This window comes from Homo sapiens, chromosome 19, assembly GCF_000001405.40.
Source record: "Homo sapiens chromosome 19, GRCh38.p14 Primary Assembly".
Taxonomy (NCBI): Eukaryota; Metazoa; Chordata; class Mammalia; order Primates; family Hominidae; genus Homo; species Homo sapiens.
In genome coordinates this window covers 3,893,054-3,909,638 of record NC_000019.10, presented here as the reverse complement: position 1 = coordinate 3,909,638, position 16,585 = coordinate 3,893,054, and the positions used below count along the sequence as shown (strand labels likewise).

Here is a 16,585-nt window from a genome sequence, read left to right as displayed (position 1 = left end):
CCTGAGGCATCCCCACCTCACCTCCGGTCGATCATCTGGTAGCACTTCTTCAGCCAGCCGATTCCAGGCATCCTCCGCCGGGGCGTGGCACCGTTCAGGTACACGATCATGTAGTCCTCAGCCACCAGGAGCTCTAAGCTGCTGATGACGTACCTGCTCACGGGGCACAGAAGGCAGGGACCCAACATGGAGGGGTCCAGGGTCAGGACACCTGCGGTGCCGACCCTGCCTGCCTCCACTCCTGCCGCTGGCTGGGTCAGCCCCACTGGTCCAGGTGTTGTCTGCTGTCCTGGCGGACTGCAGGGTGGGAGAGGACGTGGATGATCCCAGCACACTCCACATGAGTGTCAGCGGGCATCCTCATAGGGCAGTTACTCTTTTATTGAGTCGTTTTTTTTTTTTGAGACGGAATCTCGCTCTGTTGCCCAGGCTAGAGTGCAGTGGTGCGATCTCGGCTCACTGCAAGCTCCGCCTCCCAGGTTCACGCCATTCTCCTGCCACAGCCTCCCTAGTAGCTGGGATTACAGGCGCCTGCCACCGAGCCCAGCTAAATTGTAGTTTTAGTAGAGGCAGGATTTCACTATGTTGGCCAGGCTGGTCTCTAGGCCTTGCTTTTTTTTTTTTTTTTTTTTTTTGAGACAGGTTCTCACTCTGTCACCCAGGCTGGAGTGCAGTGGTGCCATCTCAGAGCGGGAAGAGGAGGAGGAAGGGGAAGAGGATGGGGAGGAGGAGGATGGGGAGGGGGAGGAGAGGGAAGGAGAGGAAGATGAGGGAAGGAGGAGAAGGAGGAGGAAGGGGGGAGAAAGGGGAGGAAGAGAAAGAGGATGAGGTGGAGAAAGGGGAGGAAGAGGAGGAGAAGGAAGAGGGGGGAGGAGGAGAGGGAAGGGGAAGAGGGGGAGGAGGAGAGGGAAGGGGAGGAGGAGGAGAAAAGGGAGGAGGAGGGGGGAGGAAGAAGGGGAGGAGAAGGAGGAGAAGAAAGGGGAAGGGGGAGGAAGAAGGGGAGGAGGAGGAGGACAGTGAGGAGGAGGGGAAGGAGGAGGAAGAGGAGGAGGAGGAGGACGGGGAGGAGAACAGGGTGGCCCAGAGGGAAGGCCACTGTGAGCCTCAGGGCCAGCAGGGACTCAGATCAAGGTCTGTGGCCACCACGCCCTTCCCTGGTGCCAGGCAGGCTTCCTAGGGCCACAATGCAATCCTTGCAGCCTGGTGCCCCTGTGGCCAGGGAGGCATCAGAGCTGGCCCGAGGCTGCTCGCCGCGGGCGGGGACTCACAGGAAGAGGTTCTCCATGATGTAGTGGTAGTCGGGGAGGCTGCTGTCTGGAAGGAAGCAGGCTGCGAAGACGATGATGGCGTTGAGGCCTTCGCCGTAGTACCCTGAGGAGAGGCAGCCGATCGGCAACGTCAGAGTCCTCTCCCAGCCCTGAGCTGCCTCCCGCGCACCACCCACCACGTCCCGGTGCCCACACGCTCGGGAGGGCATGGCTCCGAGCCACAGCAGCCGGCGACCCCTTAGCCAGTCTCTGCCTTCGCTGAGGAGTGACAGCGACCATCAGGGGCCCCCAGTGCGCCTCCCTGACCATGCACGCCTTGCCCACAGTCCGTCCACCCGAAGCGAGTTGACGGCTTAACATCCCCGTGCATCAGAGAGGGGCACTGACGAACCCCCTGTTGCCCAGTGGGCCGGGCTGGAGCCCCAAGGGGGCACCGGGGGGCGGGTCTCACCTCCGTGGGTGACCACTTTCATGTAAGGCCGGATCATGTGCAGGTCTATACGGTGCTCTTGCTCCCCGATGATCACTGTCCGCCACAGGCGCCCGTTGGCGGCGCTGCCGTCCTCCGTCGTGCCGTCCCCAAATAGATCCGCGCTGTCCCCGGGCATGTTCTTGGCGGTGGCCACGGGGGTGTCGTCTAGAAGCAGGTGGCGGAGAGTCGCATGGACGCCAGAGTCCGGATATCTCCTGCCCTCCTGCTCAGCCTTCCTTCCCCTCTCCCACCTCCCTCGCTGCCGGGACCCACAAGTCCTTCGCTTCTCCCCACCTGGCTGCCCTGCTGACCCATTTTCCTCTCCTACTCCCCTTTCAAGGCCTGGCTCAAATGCCGCCTCCTCCAGGAAGCCTTTCTGGACATTCCCTTTGCTGGCCTCCCAGGGCACTCTGTTGGTTAAGGACCTGTGTCCTGGAGCTTCTCAGAGCTGGTGAATGCATCTGCTTCATCAAACCACGAGGATACTCGGGGCATGCATGCTTGGTTTTTACTCTCCCAGGAGCCTGGCACACAGAGAGCAGTCCTCCTGCCTCAGCCTCCCAGATACCTGGGACTACAGTTGTGCACCACCACACCCAGCTAATTTTTATATTTTTGTAGAGATGGGGTTTCAATATGTTGCCCAGGCTGGTCTCAAACTCCTGGCCTTAAGCGATCCTCCTACCCTGGCCTCCCGAAGCTCTGGGATTACAGGAATGAGCCACTACATTGTCCTTAATTTTTTTTTTTCTTTCTTTTTTTTTTTTGAGAGAGTCTTGTTCCATCGCCCAGGCTGGAGTGGAGTGGTGCGATCTCTGCTCACTGCAGCCTCTGCCTCCAGAGTTCAAGCGATTCTCCTGCCTCAGCCTCCCGAGTAGCTGGGACTACGCACGCCACCATGCCCGGCTAATTTCTGTATTTTTAGTAGAGATGGAGCTTCACCATGTTGGCCAGGCTGGTCTCAAACTCCTGACCTCAGGTGATCTGCCCACCTCAGCCTCCCAAAGTGCTGGGATTACAGGCGTGAGTCACTGCGCCTGGCCTTTCGTGGTCTGTCTTTCTGATGATCTGTGTGTGCAGGTAGGGACCAGGACCATCTCTTCTTATCATAGCCCTGCCATATACCCCACGCCTGAATCAGGACTTGCCCTGGAGTAAATGGTCAAAAAGTATTTGTTGCATACATCGAGGGCAGTTTGTTGGGATCTTGGTCGCCTTTGAGATTCTGATGAAAGCCACGTTCTGCAGAAAAATTCACAAGCCCACAAGAAAAATATGCATCAAATTGCAGGGGCAGGCTGGGCGCCGTGGCTCACACCTGTGATCCCAGCACTTTGGGAGGCCGAGGTGGGTGTATCACTTGAAGTCAGGAGTTTGAGACCAGCCTGGGCAACATGGGAAAACCCCATCTCTACTAAAAATATAAACATCAGCCGGAAGTGGTAGTGCATGCCTGTAATCCCAGCTACTCGGGAGGCTGAGGCAAAAGAATCGCTTGAACCCGGGAGGTGGAGGATGCAGTGAGCTGAGATCACACCACTGCACTCCAGCCTGGGCAACAGAGTGAGACTCTGTCTCAAAAAAAAAAAAAAAACAGTCGCAGGAGCGGATGGACCCTCCTCCTGGCACCCCTCCTATTCTGCTATCGAACAATAGAACTTATTCCTTCTGTCTAACTGTATGTTGGTACCCATTCACCAACCTCTCTCTCTCTTTTTTTTTTTTTTTGAGACGGAGTCTCGCTCTGTCGCCCAGGCTGGAGTGCAGTGGCACAATCTTGGCTCACCGCAAGCTCGGCCTCCTGGGTTCACACCGTTCTCCTGCCTCAGCCTCCTGAGTAGCTGGGACTTCAGGTGCCCGCCACCATGCCTGGCTAATTTTTTGTATTTTAGTAGAGACGGGGTTTCACTGTGTCAGCCAGGATGGTCTCGATCTCCTGACCTCGTGATCTGCCCGCCTCGGCCTCCCAAAGTGCTAGGATTACAGGCATGAGCCACTGCGCCCAGCCACCTCTCTCTTTTTTAAAAATTTTATTTTTGAGACAGGGTCTCACTCTGTTGTCCAGGCTGGAGTGCAGTGGCATGATCACGTCTCACTGCAGTCTTGATCTCCTGGGTTTAAGGCTAGACTGCTTAGAGCCCCTGCCCCACTTGTGACTCTCTGAGCCTATGGGAATCCAGAGACGGAAAGGTGGGGTGGGGGGGGTGGGCTCCAGCAGGCCCCAGAGAGACCCTGAACTTTACCTTCCCACTCCAGTTCGTTGCCATTCCCCAGGAACTCCAGCGAGTCGGTCTCATCGGGGGTCTCGATGTCATCCACGTTAATATCCAGGTCATCAGGGGTATCCAAGAAGTCATCGGACAGCAGGGACCCCTCACTCTGATCCAGAGAAATGTTGATCTCTGGGGCCACCAGCGTCTTCCTCTTACGATGCGCTCCGTTGAAATTTAGCGTGTTGGGAGGAGCTGCAGGGAAATGAGAAAAATGGAAAACATCTTTGCTTTCTCTCTTTTACCTTCCCCCCATTTTCCTACCTGGTGGAAGCTGTTTCATCATGCAGGAATGGGAAGAGAGGGTGGGCTCCCTTCTGTATCCATGCCATTGGCGGGGGTGGGCAGAATTAAACCGACATCATCCTGACAGGGGTGAATGTTATAACCTCTGTCCTGTGGGCAAGCCTCAGAGATTAAGGGGATGGATGCTTGGACATTGGGCAGACATGAGTTCAAAGCCTGACTTTGGGCCGGGTGCGGTGGCTCACGCCTGTAATCCCAGCACTTTGGAGGCCGAGGCGGGCAGATCACCTGAGGTCAGGAGTTCGAGACCAGCCTGGCCAACATGGCGAAACCCCATCTCTACTAAAAATATAAAAATTAGCCGGGCACAGTGGTGGCGCCTGTAATCCCAGCTGCTTGGGAGTCTGAGGCAGGAGAATCACTTGAGCCCAGGAGGCGGAGGTTACAGTGAGCCAAGATCGTACCATTGCACTCCAGCCTGGGTGACAGAGTGAAACTCTATCTCAAAAATAAATAAATAAATAAATAAAGGAGAAGAGACATATCTCTTGTGCAGACAAATTGTGAAAGCAGCCCATCTTCTTCTAGGCTTTCTCTGACTCTCACCCTCCTGTCTCCACTCATGAGGATCCTGTAACGATGTCAGGCCACCTGGATAATACAGGATCCAGGATAGTCTCCTATTTTAATCAGAGTGCTCCAGGGAAACAAATCCAATAGGACGTGTGTGTGTGTGTGTGTGTGTGTATACATATTTTTTTCCTATATGTATGGAAAAAAAGAGAGAGGGAGAAATTTATTTTAAGGAATTAGCTCGTGTGATCACAGAGACTGACAAGTCCTCAATCGGCAGGGCAGGCCAGCAGGCGGGACGCCTAGGGAAGAGTTGATGTTGCAAAACCGTCCGCAGGCAGAATTGTCTCTGCCTGGGGGAACCTCAGTCTGTTTCTCTTAAAACCTTCAACTGATTAGATGAGGCCCACCCACATCACAGATGGCTGCCTGCTTTAATCCAAAGTCTGCTAATTTATTTTGTTTTATTTATGTATTTATTTTTTTGAGATGGAGTCTCACTCCGTTACCCAGGCTGGAGTACAATGGTAGGATCTCAGCTCACTGCAACCTCCGCCTCCCAGGTTCAAGTGATTCTCCCACCTCAGCCTCCCAAGTAGCTGGGATTACAGGCATGCGCCACCAAGCCCGACTAATCTTTTTTTGTTTTGTTTTGTTTAGACAGAGTCTCGCCTTGTCACCCAGGCTGGAGTGCAATGGCACAATCTCAGCTTGCTGCAACCTCCGTCTCCTGGGTTCAAGCGATCCTCATGCCTCAGCCTCCTGAGTGACTGGGATTACAGGCAAGTGCCACAATGCCCGGCTAATTTTTTTTTTTTTTTTTTTTTGTATCTTTAGTAGAGACGGGGCTTCACCATGTTGGCCAGGTTGGTCTCAAACTCCTGACCTCGTGATCTGCCCGCCTCGGCCTCCCAAAGTGCTGGGATTACAGGCGTGAGCCACGGTGACCTGCCTTTTTTTTTTTTCTTTTTAAATAGAGACAGGCGGCCGGGTGCAGTGGCTCACGCCCGTAATCCCAACACTTTGGGAGGCCAAGGTGGGAAGATGGCTTGAGCCCAGGAGTTCAAGAGCAGCCTGGGCAACATAGTGAGACCCCATCTCTACAAAAAACTACAAAAATTAACCAGCCATGGTGGTGTGTACCTGTAGTCCCAGCTACTCAGGAGGCTGAGGCAGGAGGATCTCTTGAGCCCAGGAGGTTGAGGCTGCAGTGAGCCATGATCACGCTACTGCACTCCAGCCTGGGCGATACAGTGAGGCTCTGTCTCCAAAAAAATTTTGTTTGGCCCTCACAGGTTTATTTTCCATATTCTGCTTAACTGAATGTCGTTAAGTGGGGCTGGCTGCCAGGTCCTCCCCAGACCCCACCTCTCCCCACGGTGCCAACCTGGGCCCTTTCCCTGCCTCCGGAGGCACGTTGCAATCGCCAGGTTACGGCTAAAACTCTCCTCTGGCCGCCCAGGACTCCCATCCCCGGGATCTGGGGCTTCAGAGCCTGATACATTATGATTTTTTTCCTCTGCTGAAGAAAAAACATGCCAGGCGTGGTGGCTCACGCCCGTAATCCCAGCACTTTGGGAGGCTGAGGCAAGAAGATGGCTTGAGCCCAGGAGTTCAAGAGCAGCCTGGGCAACATAGCTAGATCCCATTTCTACAAAAACTACCAAAATTAGCCAGCCATGGTGGTGTGCACCTGTAGTCCCAGCTACTCAGAAGGCTGAGGCAGGAGGATCTCTTGAGCCCTGGAGGTTGAGGCTGCAGTGAGCCATGATCACGCCACTGCACTCCAGCCTGGATGACAGAGTGTGACCCGGTCTCCCAAAAAATGTATATATTTGGGTCTAATATAAGGTATTACACATTAAAATGTATATGTTTAGAGCTCCAGATAGCAGAGCCTCCCAGTGCACCCTTGGCTGTGCTGACTTTGTGCCTCCAGGGCATTTGGCATCACCTCATTTAATCCTTACATGCCCCCTCTGCGAGAAGCTCGCTACCTACATTTAGTAGATGAGGCATTGGGGCACAGAGAGGCTGAGTGACTAGCACAGGGACACACAGCAACACAGCGTGCTGGCTTCATGAGAGCGCCATCATCCATTGTGTCTCTCACCCACCACGGCCACTTCCACCATAGACCCCAGGACAGAACATTCTACCCACGGTGTGTGGCCTCTGACATTTCTACAGTTACAGCCCCAGGCAGGGCTGAAACCCGGAAACACTGAGCCTGTTTCCGCCCTTCTGTGGACGTGGAAACTTACAGGATGTGTCTTCCACCGGGCTGCCAAGCAGTTCCACCCCCGTCTCTTCTGGGAGTGGCCTGCGGACCCATCCAGGAACAGGCATCAGTCGCCGGGCACCAGAGATTCAGGCAGAGGACAGTGGAGTGGCCCAGACAGGTCCAGCCAGGCGAGTCAGACAAGAACAAAAGCAAAACACATTTAGTTCTGGAGAATCACTGGACCTAAATATATACATTTTTTTGGAGACAGAGCCTCACTGTATCGCCCAGGCTGGAGTGCAGTAGCGTGATCATGGCTCACTGCAGCCTCAACCTCCTGGGCTCAAGAGATCCTCCTGCCTCAGCCTCCTGAGTAGCTGGGACTACAGGTGCACACCACCACGGCTGGCTAATTTTTGTAGTTTTTTGGTTTTTTGTAGAGATGGGGTCTCACTATGTTGCCCAGGTTGCTCTTGAACTCCTGGGCTCAAGCCATCTTCCCACCTCAGCCTCCCAAAGTGTTGGGATTACGGGCGTGAGCCACCACAAGCGCATGTTTTTTCTTTTTCTTTTATTTTTTTCTTTTGAGACAGAGTCTCGCTCTGTCGCCCAGGCTGGATGGAGTAGAGTGGCATGATCTCGGCTCACGGCAACCTCCGCCTCCCGGGTTCAGGCCATTCTTCTGCCTCAGCCTCCTAAGTAAACTGGGACTACAGGTGCCCGCTACCATGCCCGGCTAATTTTTGTATTTTTAGTAGAGACGGGGTTTCACCATATTGGCCAGGCTGGTCTGGAACTCCTGACCTTGTGATCTGCCCACCTCGGCCTCTCAAAGTGCTGGGATTACAGGCATGAGCCACCGCGCCCGCCCAGCATGTTTTTTCTTTAGCAGAGGAAGAAAATTATAACGCATCAGGGCTGAAGGGCTTCTTTTAGATAATCAAATTTATATTAAGCCTTTTGGAGATTTTTGCACGGCTTGAGGAGAATGAAGGTTTTTCCCCAGCATCACATGACTTCAAAAACTTTGAAATAAGTTAGTAAGTTGAATTCTCTCTAGGGCGACCCTGTGGGATTTGGTCTCTGATGAGTTGTTGACTCTCAAATGCAGCAAAAAGTATTAAAAATAAATAAATAGATAAAACCCCCACAAAAACCTGAGTCAACCAGAAGAGATCTCTATGTCAATGCTGGAACAGTTTGTGCAACCAAATAAATAATGAAATATTGAATTATAACCCAAGATGTAAAATAAATGTCTATGAGTCCATACGGATATAAATAAGTCACTGAACAAATAAACAGGAGAGAAGAGACACATTTCTTGTGCAGAAGAATTGGAAATAGTTTATGTACAGTTCTGCCCTCAAGAAGATGAAGGATAGGCCGGGTGCGGTGGCTCACGCCTGTAATCCCAGCACTTTGGGAGGCCGAGGCGTGCGGATCACGAGGTCAGGAGATCGAGACCATCCTGGCTAACATGGTGAAACCCCGTCTCTACTAAAAGTACAAAAAAAATAGCGGGGCGTGGTGGCAGGTGCCTGTAGTCCCAGCTACTCAGGAGGCTGAGGCAGGAGAATGGCATGAACCCAGGAGGCGGAGCTTGCAGTGAGCCGAGATCGTGCCACTGCACTCCAGCCTGGGCCACAGAGCAAGACTCTGTCTCAAAAAAAAAAAAAAAAAAAAAAAAGATGAAGGATAACTCTGTGTAGGCTGTGTATAGTGATGTCATTCCAAAAAATACAGGATGGGCCAGGCGCAGCAGCTCACGCCTGTAATCCCAGCACTTTGGGAGGCTGAGGCAGGAGGATCACTTGAGCTCAGGAATTCGAGACCAGCCTGGACAACATGGTGAAACGCCATCTCTACTAAAAATACAAAAATTAGGCAGGCATGGTGGAGGACACCTGTAATCCCAGCTATCAGGAGGCTGAGGCAGGAGAATCGCTTGAACCCGGGAGGCGGAGGTTGCAGTGAGCCGAGATCGTGCCACTGCTCTCCAGCCTGGGTGACAGAGTGAGACTCCATCTCAAAACAAACAAACAAACAAAACTATCAAGGGCATCAAAACAAGAAAGACAGGGAGACTGCCACAGTCCAGAGGAGTGTCAGGAGATGTGATAACTAAATGTCATCTGGGATCCTGGATGGGGTTGTGGGGCAGAAGGAAAAGGACATTAGGCCAGCCTGGGCAACATGGCGTAACTCTGTCTCTACAAAAATTACAAAGATTAGCTGGACGTGGTGGTGCCTGTAGTCCCAGCTACTCTGGAGGCTGAGGTGGGAGGACTGCTTGAGCCTGGGAGGCGGAGGCTGCAGTGAGGTATGATGGCACCACTGCACCCCAGCCTGGATGACAGAGTGAGACCCTGTCTCTTAAAAAAAAAAAGAGAGAAAAGAAAAAAAAAGAGGACATTAGGAAAAACTTTGAAAATCTAAAAAAGCATGGACTTTGGTAACTAATAACCAATATTGATCAATATTGTTATTGATCAATGTTGATTATCAATAACCAATAGTATCAATATTGATTCATCAATTGTGACAAATATAAAATATACACAGCTAATATAAGATGTTAATTATGGGAGAAACTAGGTTCCCAGTCTACAGGAATTATCTGTACTAACTTTGCAACTTTTTCTTTCTTTTTGAGACAGAAATGCTGGAATTACAGCATGAGCCACCGCACCCGGCCCCAGATCACTTCTTGAAGCCGCAGCCCGTGCTGCCCGAGTTTGACCCAGGAGCACTGGCTCCTTGGCTACCCTGGGAAATATTCCATTCCGGGCAGAACATTTTGCACGGGGCTGCCAGAGGTCCTAGCGGCAGGGCGTGCTGACTCCGGAAAGCCAGGCTACAGCTTAATTCGTCTCTGTAACTCAGCATTCCTGGCTCAGCTGCAAGGCAAGCTGTTTAGATGGAAGGGCGGTGGAATGCATGTTCCTTTCCTTTAAAAAAATGATTTATTGGCCGGGCGTGGTGGCTCATGCCTGTAATCCTGGCACTTAGGGAGGCCGAGGCGGGCGGATCACCTGAGGTCAGGAGTTCAAGACTAGCCTGGCCAAAATGGTGAAACCCAGTCTCTACTGAAAAATACAAAAATTATCTGGGCGTGGTGGTGCGTGCTTGCAGTCTCAGCTACTGGGGAGGCTGAGGCAGGAGAATCACTTGAACCCTGGAGGCGGAGGTTGCGGTGAGCCGAGATCGTGCCATTGCACTCCAGCCTGGGCAACAAAGTGAGACTCTCTCTCAAAAAAAAAAAAAAAAAAAAAAAGATTTATTCCCTCATTTCTGTTCCACTTAGGGCATGAGCTGTTAACCTTTTTGGGGCGGAATCTATTTATGCTTTTTCCCTCTCCCTTTCCCTCCCTCTCTTTTCTCTATTCATCAAATGTTTTTGCGTAACCACTGCGTCTCCAGTGCATCTATGGGGCTTGGAGGTAAAGGAGGAATCAGATGTCACCCTCCTCCTGTTCATGGCAAAGATCAAAATGGAGCGGATTCCCAAAGGAAATGAAAACATCTGTTCACACGAAAACTCATACTTGAATGAACATAATTCATAAAAACCAAAAAGTGGAAACAATTCAAGAGTCCATTGACGGCCAGGCGCGGTGGCTCACGCCTGTCATCCTGGCACTTTGGGAGGCCGAGGAGGGCACATCATGAGGCCAAGAGATTGAGACCATCCTGGCCAACACGATGAAACCCTGTCTGTACTAAAAATACAAAAATTAGCTGGACATGGTGGCGCATGCCTATAATCCTAGCTACTTGGGAGGCTGAGGCAAGAGGATCACTTGAACCTGGGAGGTGGAAGTTGCAGTGAGCTGAAGTCACGCCACTACACTCCAGCCTGGGGACAGAGTGAGACTCTGTCTCAAAAACAAACAAACAAACAAACAACACCAGTCCATTAACAGCTGACTGGATCAACAAATGTGGTATATCCATTCAATGGAATACTATTTAGCCCTGAAAAGGAACAGGGCTCTGACACAGACCACAGCATGGATGCACCTTGAGGACATCATGCTCAGTGAGAGATGCCAGACACAAAAGGCCACACAGTGTGTGATTCCAATTACATGAAATGTTGGCTGAGTGTGGTGGCTTATGCCTGTAATCCCAGCACTTTGAAAGGCTGATGCGGGCGGGTTCATTGAGCCCAGGAGTTCAAGACCAGTCGGGGCAACATGGCGAAAGCCCGTCTCTACTAAAAATACAAAACAATTAGCTGGGTGTGGTGGTACACGTCTAGTTCCAAGTACTCAGGAGGCTGAGGCAGGAGGATTGCTCTAACTTGGGAGGTCGAGGCTGCAGTGAGCTATGATTGCACCACTGCACTCCAGCCTAGGTGAAAGAGTGACACCCTGCTCAAAACAGAAAAGAAAAGAAAAAAAAAAGAGATGTTTAGAACACGTAAATTCTCACAGGAAGTAGATGTGTGGTCACTGGGGTTGGGGGAGAGGGATGAAAATGGGGCTGACTTAGTAGATAGGATTTCCTCTCACGGTGATGAAAATGTCTTCAAATTAGATAGATGTGGGGTTGCAGAACATTATGAATGGACTCTGCCACTGAATCATGAACTTTAAAATGATGAATTCATGTTATGAGAATTCCACCTCAATTTTTTATATTTTTTAAATTTTATTTTACTTATTTAATTTTTGAGACGGAGTTTCACTCTTTTGCCCAGGCTGGAGTGCAGTGGCACAATCTTGGCTCACTGCAACCTCCATCTCCCGGGTTTAGGCGATTCTTGTGCCTCAGCCTCCAGAGTAGCTGTGATTATAGGCGCCCACCACCATGCTCAGCTGATTTTTGTGTTTTTAGTAGAGATGGGGTTTCACCACGTTGGCCAGGCTGGTCTCGAACTCCTGAGCTCAGGAGATCCACCTGCCTCGGCCTCCCAAAGTGCTGAGATTACATGCGTGAGCCACTGTACTTGGCCTCACCTCAATTTTTTAAAAAGCAAGCTTTGGCTGGGCATGAGGTGGCACACGCTTGTAATCCCAGCACTTTGGGAGGCTGAGGTGGGAGGATCCCTTGAGCCCAGGAGTTTGAGATCAGCCTGGGCAACACAGCGAGACTCCATCTCTATAAAAAATAAAAAGCCAGGCATGGTGGCGTGTCCCTGTAGTCCCAGCTATTTGGGAAGCCAAGGTGGGAGGATCAGCTGAGCCCAGGAGGTCAAGGCTGCAGTGAGCCATGATCGAGCCACTGCACTCCAGCCTGGATGACAGAGCGAGGCGATATAGATAGATATAGATATAGATATAGATATAGATTTTGCTATATATATATATATATATAGCAAACTTCAAAGAAAGGACTGAAGAATGAACTGACCTGCTCATTCAGAAGGTTAACCCAAACCAGCGCTGCAAAATTGCAGGCTGATGGCTGATGCACCAAGCCTAGTTATGTCCCACCCATGCAGCATTTAAAAACATTTTCCATTTGCTGTCGAAGAAGAGATGCAAAAAGTCTAGATTTCTGGCTGGGCGTGGTGGCTCATGCCTCAGTAATCCCAGCGCTTTGGGAGGCTGAGGCGGGTGGATCATCTGAGGTCAGGAGTTCGAGACCAGCCTGGTCAGCATGGCAAAACCCTGTCTCTAATAAAAACACAAAAATTAGCCGGGCATGGTGGCGGGCGCCTGTAATCCCAGCTATTGGTGAGGCTGAGGCAGGAGAATCGCTTGAACCTGGGAGGTGGAGGTTGCAGTGAGCCGAGATCGTGACACTGCACTCCAGCCTGGGCAACAGAGCGAGACTCCGTCTCAAAACAAACAAACAAACAACCACTTGCCCAGCCAGGGTCCCTGTCCAGCCACCATCTCCTCCCGCCAGAGGAAAGCCCCATTGCTTTGCAGCCGGCACTGCCTTCGATTCTCAAGATGTGATTTAGCCTCATAACCTTGGACGGTCCACACAGACTCTACGTAGGCTGTGAACTGAGTGGACCATTGCTGGGCTGCAGCTGAAATATGAAGCTGTAGAAAGCATCTCAGGCCGGGCGCAGGGGCTCATGCCTGTAATCCCGGCACTTTGGGAGGCCGAGGCAGGTGGATCATCTGAGGCCAAGAGTTCAAGACCAGCCTGGCCAACATGGTGAAACCCCGTCTCTACTAAAAACACAAAATTAGCTGGGTGTGGTGGCACGTGCCTGTAATCTCAGCTACTCGGGAGGCTGAGGCAAGAGAATCGCTTGAACCCGGGAGGTGGAGGTTGCAGTGAGCTGAGACCGTGCCACTGCACTCCAGCCTGAGTGACAGAGTGAGACTCTGTCTCGAGAAAAAAAAAAAAAAAGGGATGTGATTCAACCTCACAACATTGGATGGTCCACACAGATTCTACATTGGCTGTGAACTAGGTGGACCACTGCTGGGCTGCAGCTGAAATGTGAAGCTGTAGAAAGCATCTCAGACTGGGCGCAGGGGCTCATGCCGGTAATCACAGCACTTTGGGAGGCTGAGGAGGGAGGATCACTTAAGCCCAAGAGTTGAAGACAAGCCTGGCCCACACAGCAAGACCCCATCACTACTAAAAATTTAAAAATTAGCCCAGCATGATGGCTCATGCCTGTGATCCCAGCTACTCAGCAGGCTGAGGTGGGAGGATCTCTTGAGACTAGGAGTTCGAGACTAGCCTGGGCAACATAGTGAGACCCCATCTCTACAAAAAATACAACATATTAGCCAGGCATGGTGGCATGCACTTGTAATCCCAGCTACTAAGGAGGCTGAGGCAGGAGGATCGTTTGAGTCCGGGAGTTTGAGGCTGCAGTGAGCTGTGATTGGCACCACTGCACTCCCGCCTGAGCAACAGAGCAAGAGTCTATCAAAAAAAAAAAAAAAAAAGAAAAGAAAAGAAAGAAAAAAAGAAAGCATCTCAGCTGCACATACTGGGAAAGTGAGGAAAGCAGGAGAAAGGGTGGGAATGCCTAAGAGAGTCTCAGAGAGTCTGAGCACAACTCCCAGCCCTGCCACTCCATCCAGCGCTACGAGTCTGGGTGGTGCCTTCTCCTCCCTGAGCCTCTGTTTTCCTCATGACTAAAATGGGGGCCAGGCGCGGTGGCTCACACCTGTAATCCCAGCACTTTGGGAGGCCGAGGCGGGCAGATCACCTGAGGTCAGGAGTTCGAGACCAGCCTGGCCAACGTGGTGAAACCCCATCTCTACTAAAAATACAAAAATTAGCTGGGTGTGGTGGTGCATGCCTGTAACCCCAGCTACTCAGGAGGCTGAGGCAAGAGAATGGCTTGAACCCAGGAAGCGGAGGTTGCAGTGAGCTGAGATCGTGCCATTGCACTCCAGCCTGGCGACAGAGTGAGACTCCGTCTCAAAAACAAAAACAAAAACTGCAGCATTAGCTCTTACCTGACAGTTTCCAGCCTGCCCTGTGGATTTTGGACTTGGTGGTTCCCAGGATTGTGCAAAGCAATTCCTGGCTTGAGACCATGTATATAAAGGAAGACAATAAGCAAATAAGTGAACAAGGCAGATAGTGATGCTTACGGCAAAGAAAATGAATGAAATAAAGGAGAGGAGAGAGAGAGAAAAAAATCTGTGGGGTGGTCAGGGAAGGCCTCATTGAGGAGGCAGCTTTTTTTTTTTTTTTTTTTTTTTGAGACAGGGTCTTGCTCTGTTGCCCAGCCTAGAGCACAGTAGTGAAATCATAGCTCACTGCAGCCTCAAATTCCTGGGCTCAAGGGATCCTCCTGTCTCAGTCTTCTGAGTAGCTGGGACCCTAGGTGTGCACCACCACACCCGGCTAATTATAAAATTTTTTGTAGAGACAGGGTCTTACTGTGGTGCCTAGGCTGGTCTTGAACTTCACATTTCAAGCAATTCTCCTGCCTCAGCTTCCTAAAGTGATGGGATTACAGGAGTGAGCTGCCACACCTGGTTAATTTTTCAGGTTTTTACAGTTTTTTTTTTTTTTTTTTTTTGCAGACACAGGGTCTCGCCATGTTGCCCAGGCTGGTCTCAAATTCTTGGGCTCAAGCAATCCTCCTACCTCAGCCTCTCAAGTAGCTGGGACTACCAGCACACACTACTATGTCCAGCTAATTTTTTTTTTTTTTTTTTTTTGAGACGGAGTCTCACTCTGTCACCCAGGCTGGAGTGCAGTGGCGCGATCTCAGGTCACTGCAAGCTCCGCCTCCCGGGTTCACGCCATTCTCCTGCCTCAGCCTCCCGAGTAGCTGGGACTACAGGCGCCTGCCACCACGCCCAGCTAATTTTTTGTATTTTTAGTAGAGACGGGGTTTCACCGTGTTAGCCAGGATGGTCTCGATCTCCTGACCTCGTGACCTGCCCGCCTCGGCCTCCCAAAGTGCTGGGATTACAGACGTGAGCCACCGCGCCCGGCCACCCAGCTAATTTTTATATTTTTCTGCAGATGGGGTCTTGCAGGCTGGTCTTGAACTCCTGGGCTCAAGTGATCCTCCCGCCTTGGCCTCCCAGAGTGCTGGGATTACAGGAGTGAGCCACTGTGCCTGGCTGGAAGCGACTTTTAAGTGTAGACTTTTAAGCATGATGTTGGCGTCCTGCAGAGACCAGGCAAGAGCACTCCAGATGGAAGGCACTGCAGAGGCCCAGGCTCCGGGACTGGAATAAGCTTGCCAAGTTCAAGGGCAGATCAGAAAGCAGACTCAGGGTGCCTGGCGCAGAGAGAGCAGTGGGGGAGGAGGGAGTGGTTGGAGGATGGAGGGTAGGGAGGGAGGGCCAGGGAGAGGCAGTGCCTCGGGGATGGGATGAGGTCCTGAGGCTGAGCTGCCAGTTGCAGTGGATGTTCAGGAAAGGTTTAAGATCATGCAGAACTGGAGAAGCCGACCTGGCAGGGCTCCAGGCTCCCTGAAGGAAGACCCACTGCTCTGGAACATGGGTGGAGCAAGCTCTCCCCGCCTGTTCATGGAGCTGCAGTTTCCAAGGTCAGGTGAGATCCTGTTACTTCCGCAAGCTCCAGGAGAACCGCAGACTCTCCAGACTTGGAGATCCCCTCCGTGGCCCTGGGGTATAATATATCCACTTAGCCCTCTGCAGAGCCGGCTCTCAAAGTCCATGATGGGCAATCCAGGTAAAAAGTGGAAATCCTAGCCGGGCATGGTGGCTCACACCTGTAATCCCAGCACTTTGCGAGGCCGAGGCAGGTGGATCATAAGGTCAAGCGATCAAGACCAGCCTGGCCAACATGGTGAAACCCCGTCTCTACTAAAAATACTAAAATTAGCCTGGCATGGTGGCACATGCCTGTGGTCCCAGCTACAGCTACTTGGGAGGCTGAGGCAGGAGAGTCGCTTGAACCCAGGAGGCGGAGGTTGCAGTGAGCTGAGATCATGCTACTGCACTCCAGCCTGGGCGACAGAGCAAGTCTCCGTCTCAAAAAAAAAAAAAAAAAAAAGTGGGGGTCCCCCCCACATGCAAGATGCACAGCGTGGCTTCGTCCTGCTGAGGTGGGTTGGATCGTGTTCCCCTAAAAGAGATAAGTTTAAGTCCCAGTGCCTGGTGAGACACATACC

At 51.7% G+C, this 16,585-nt stretch overlaps 1 protein-coding gene across 2 annotated transcripts in view; it reads right to left on the bottom strand.

Moving 5' to 3' along the window:
* The window catches only part of ATCAY (ATCAY kinesin light chain interacting caytaxin), a 47,398-nt gene that overhangs the window by 18,444 nt on the left and 12,369 nt on the right, over nucleotides 1–16,585 (bottom strand). The window contains exons 1-6 of one of the 2 annotated variants that reach the window (XM_047439578.1): nucleotides 15,901–15,993; nucleotides 7,094–7,152; nucleotides 3,984–4,205; nucleotides 1,720–1,905; nucleotides 1,269–1,371; nucleotides 22–153 (exon numbers count right to left, since the gene is read on the bottom strand). In XM_047439578.1, the coding sequence (XP_047295534.1) occupies nucleotides 22–153; nucleotides 1,269–1,371; nucleotides 1,720–1,876 (392 nt within the window). In that variant the 5' untranslated portion in view covers nucleotides 1,877–1,905; nucleotides 3,984–4,205; nucleotides 7,094–7,152; nucleotides 15,901–15,993. Of the gene's footprint in view, nucleotides 1–21; nucleotides 154–1,268; nucleotides 1,372–1,719; nucleotides 1,906–3,983; nucleotides 4,206–7,093; nucleotides 7,153–15,900; nucleotides 15,994–16,585 lie in introns of those variants that run through there. The other variant, NM_033064.5, reaches the window with a different exon arrangement.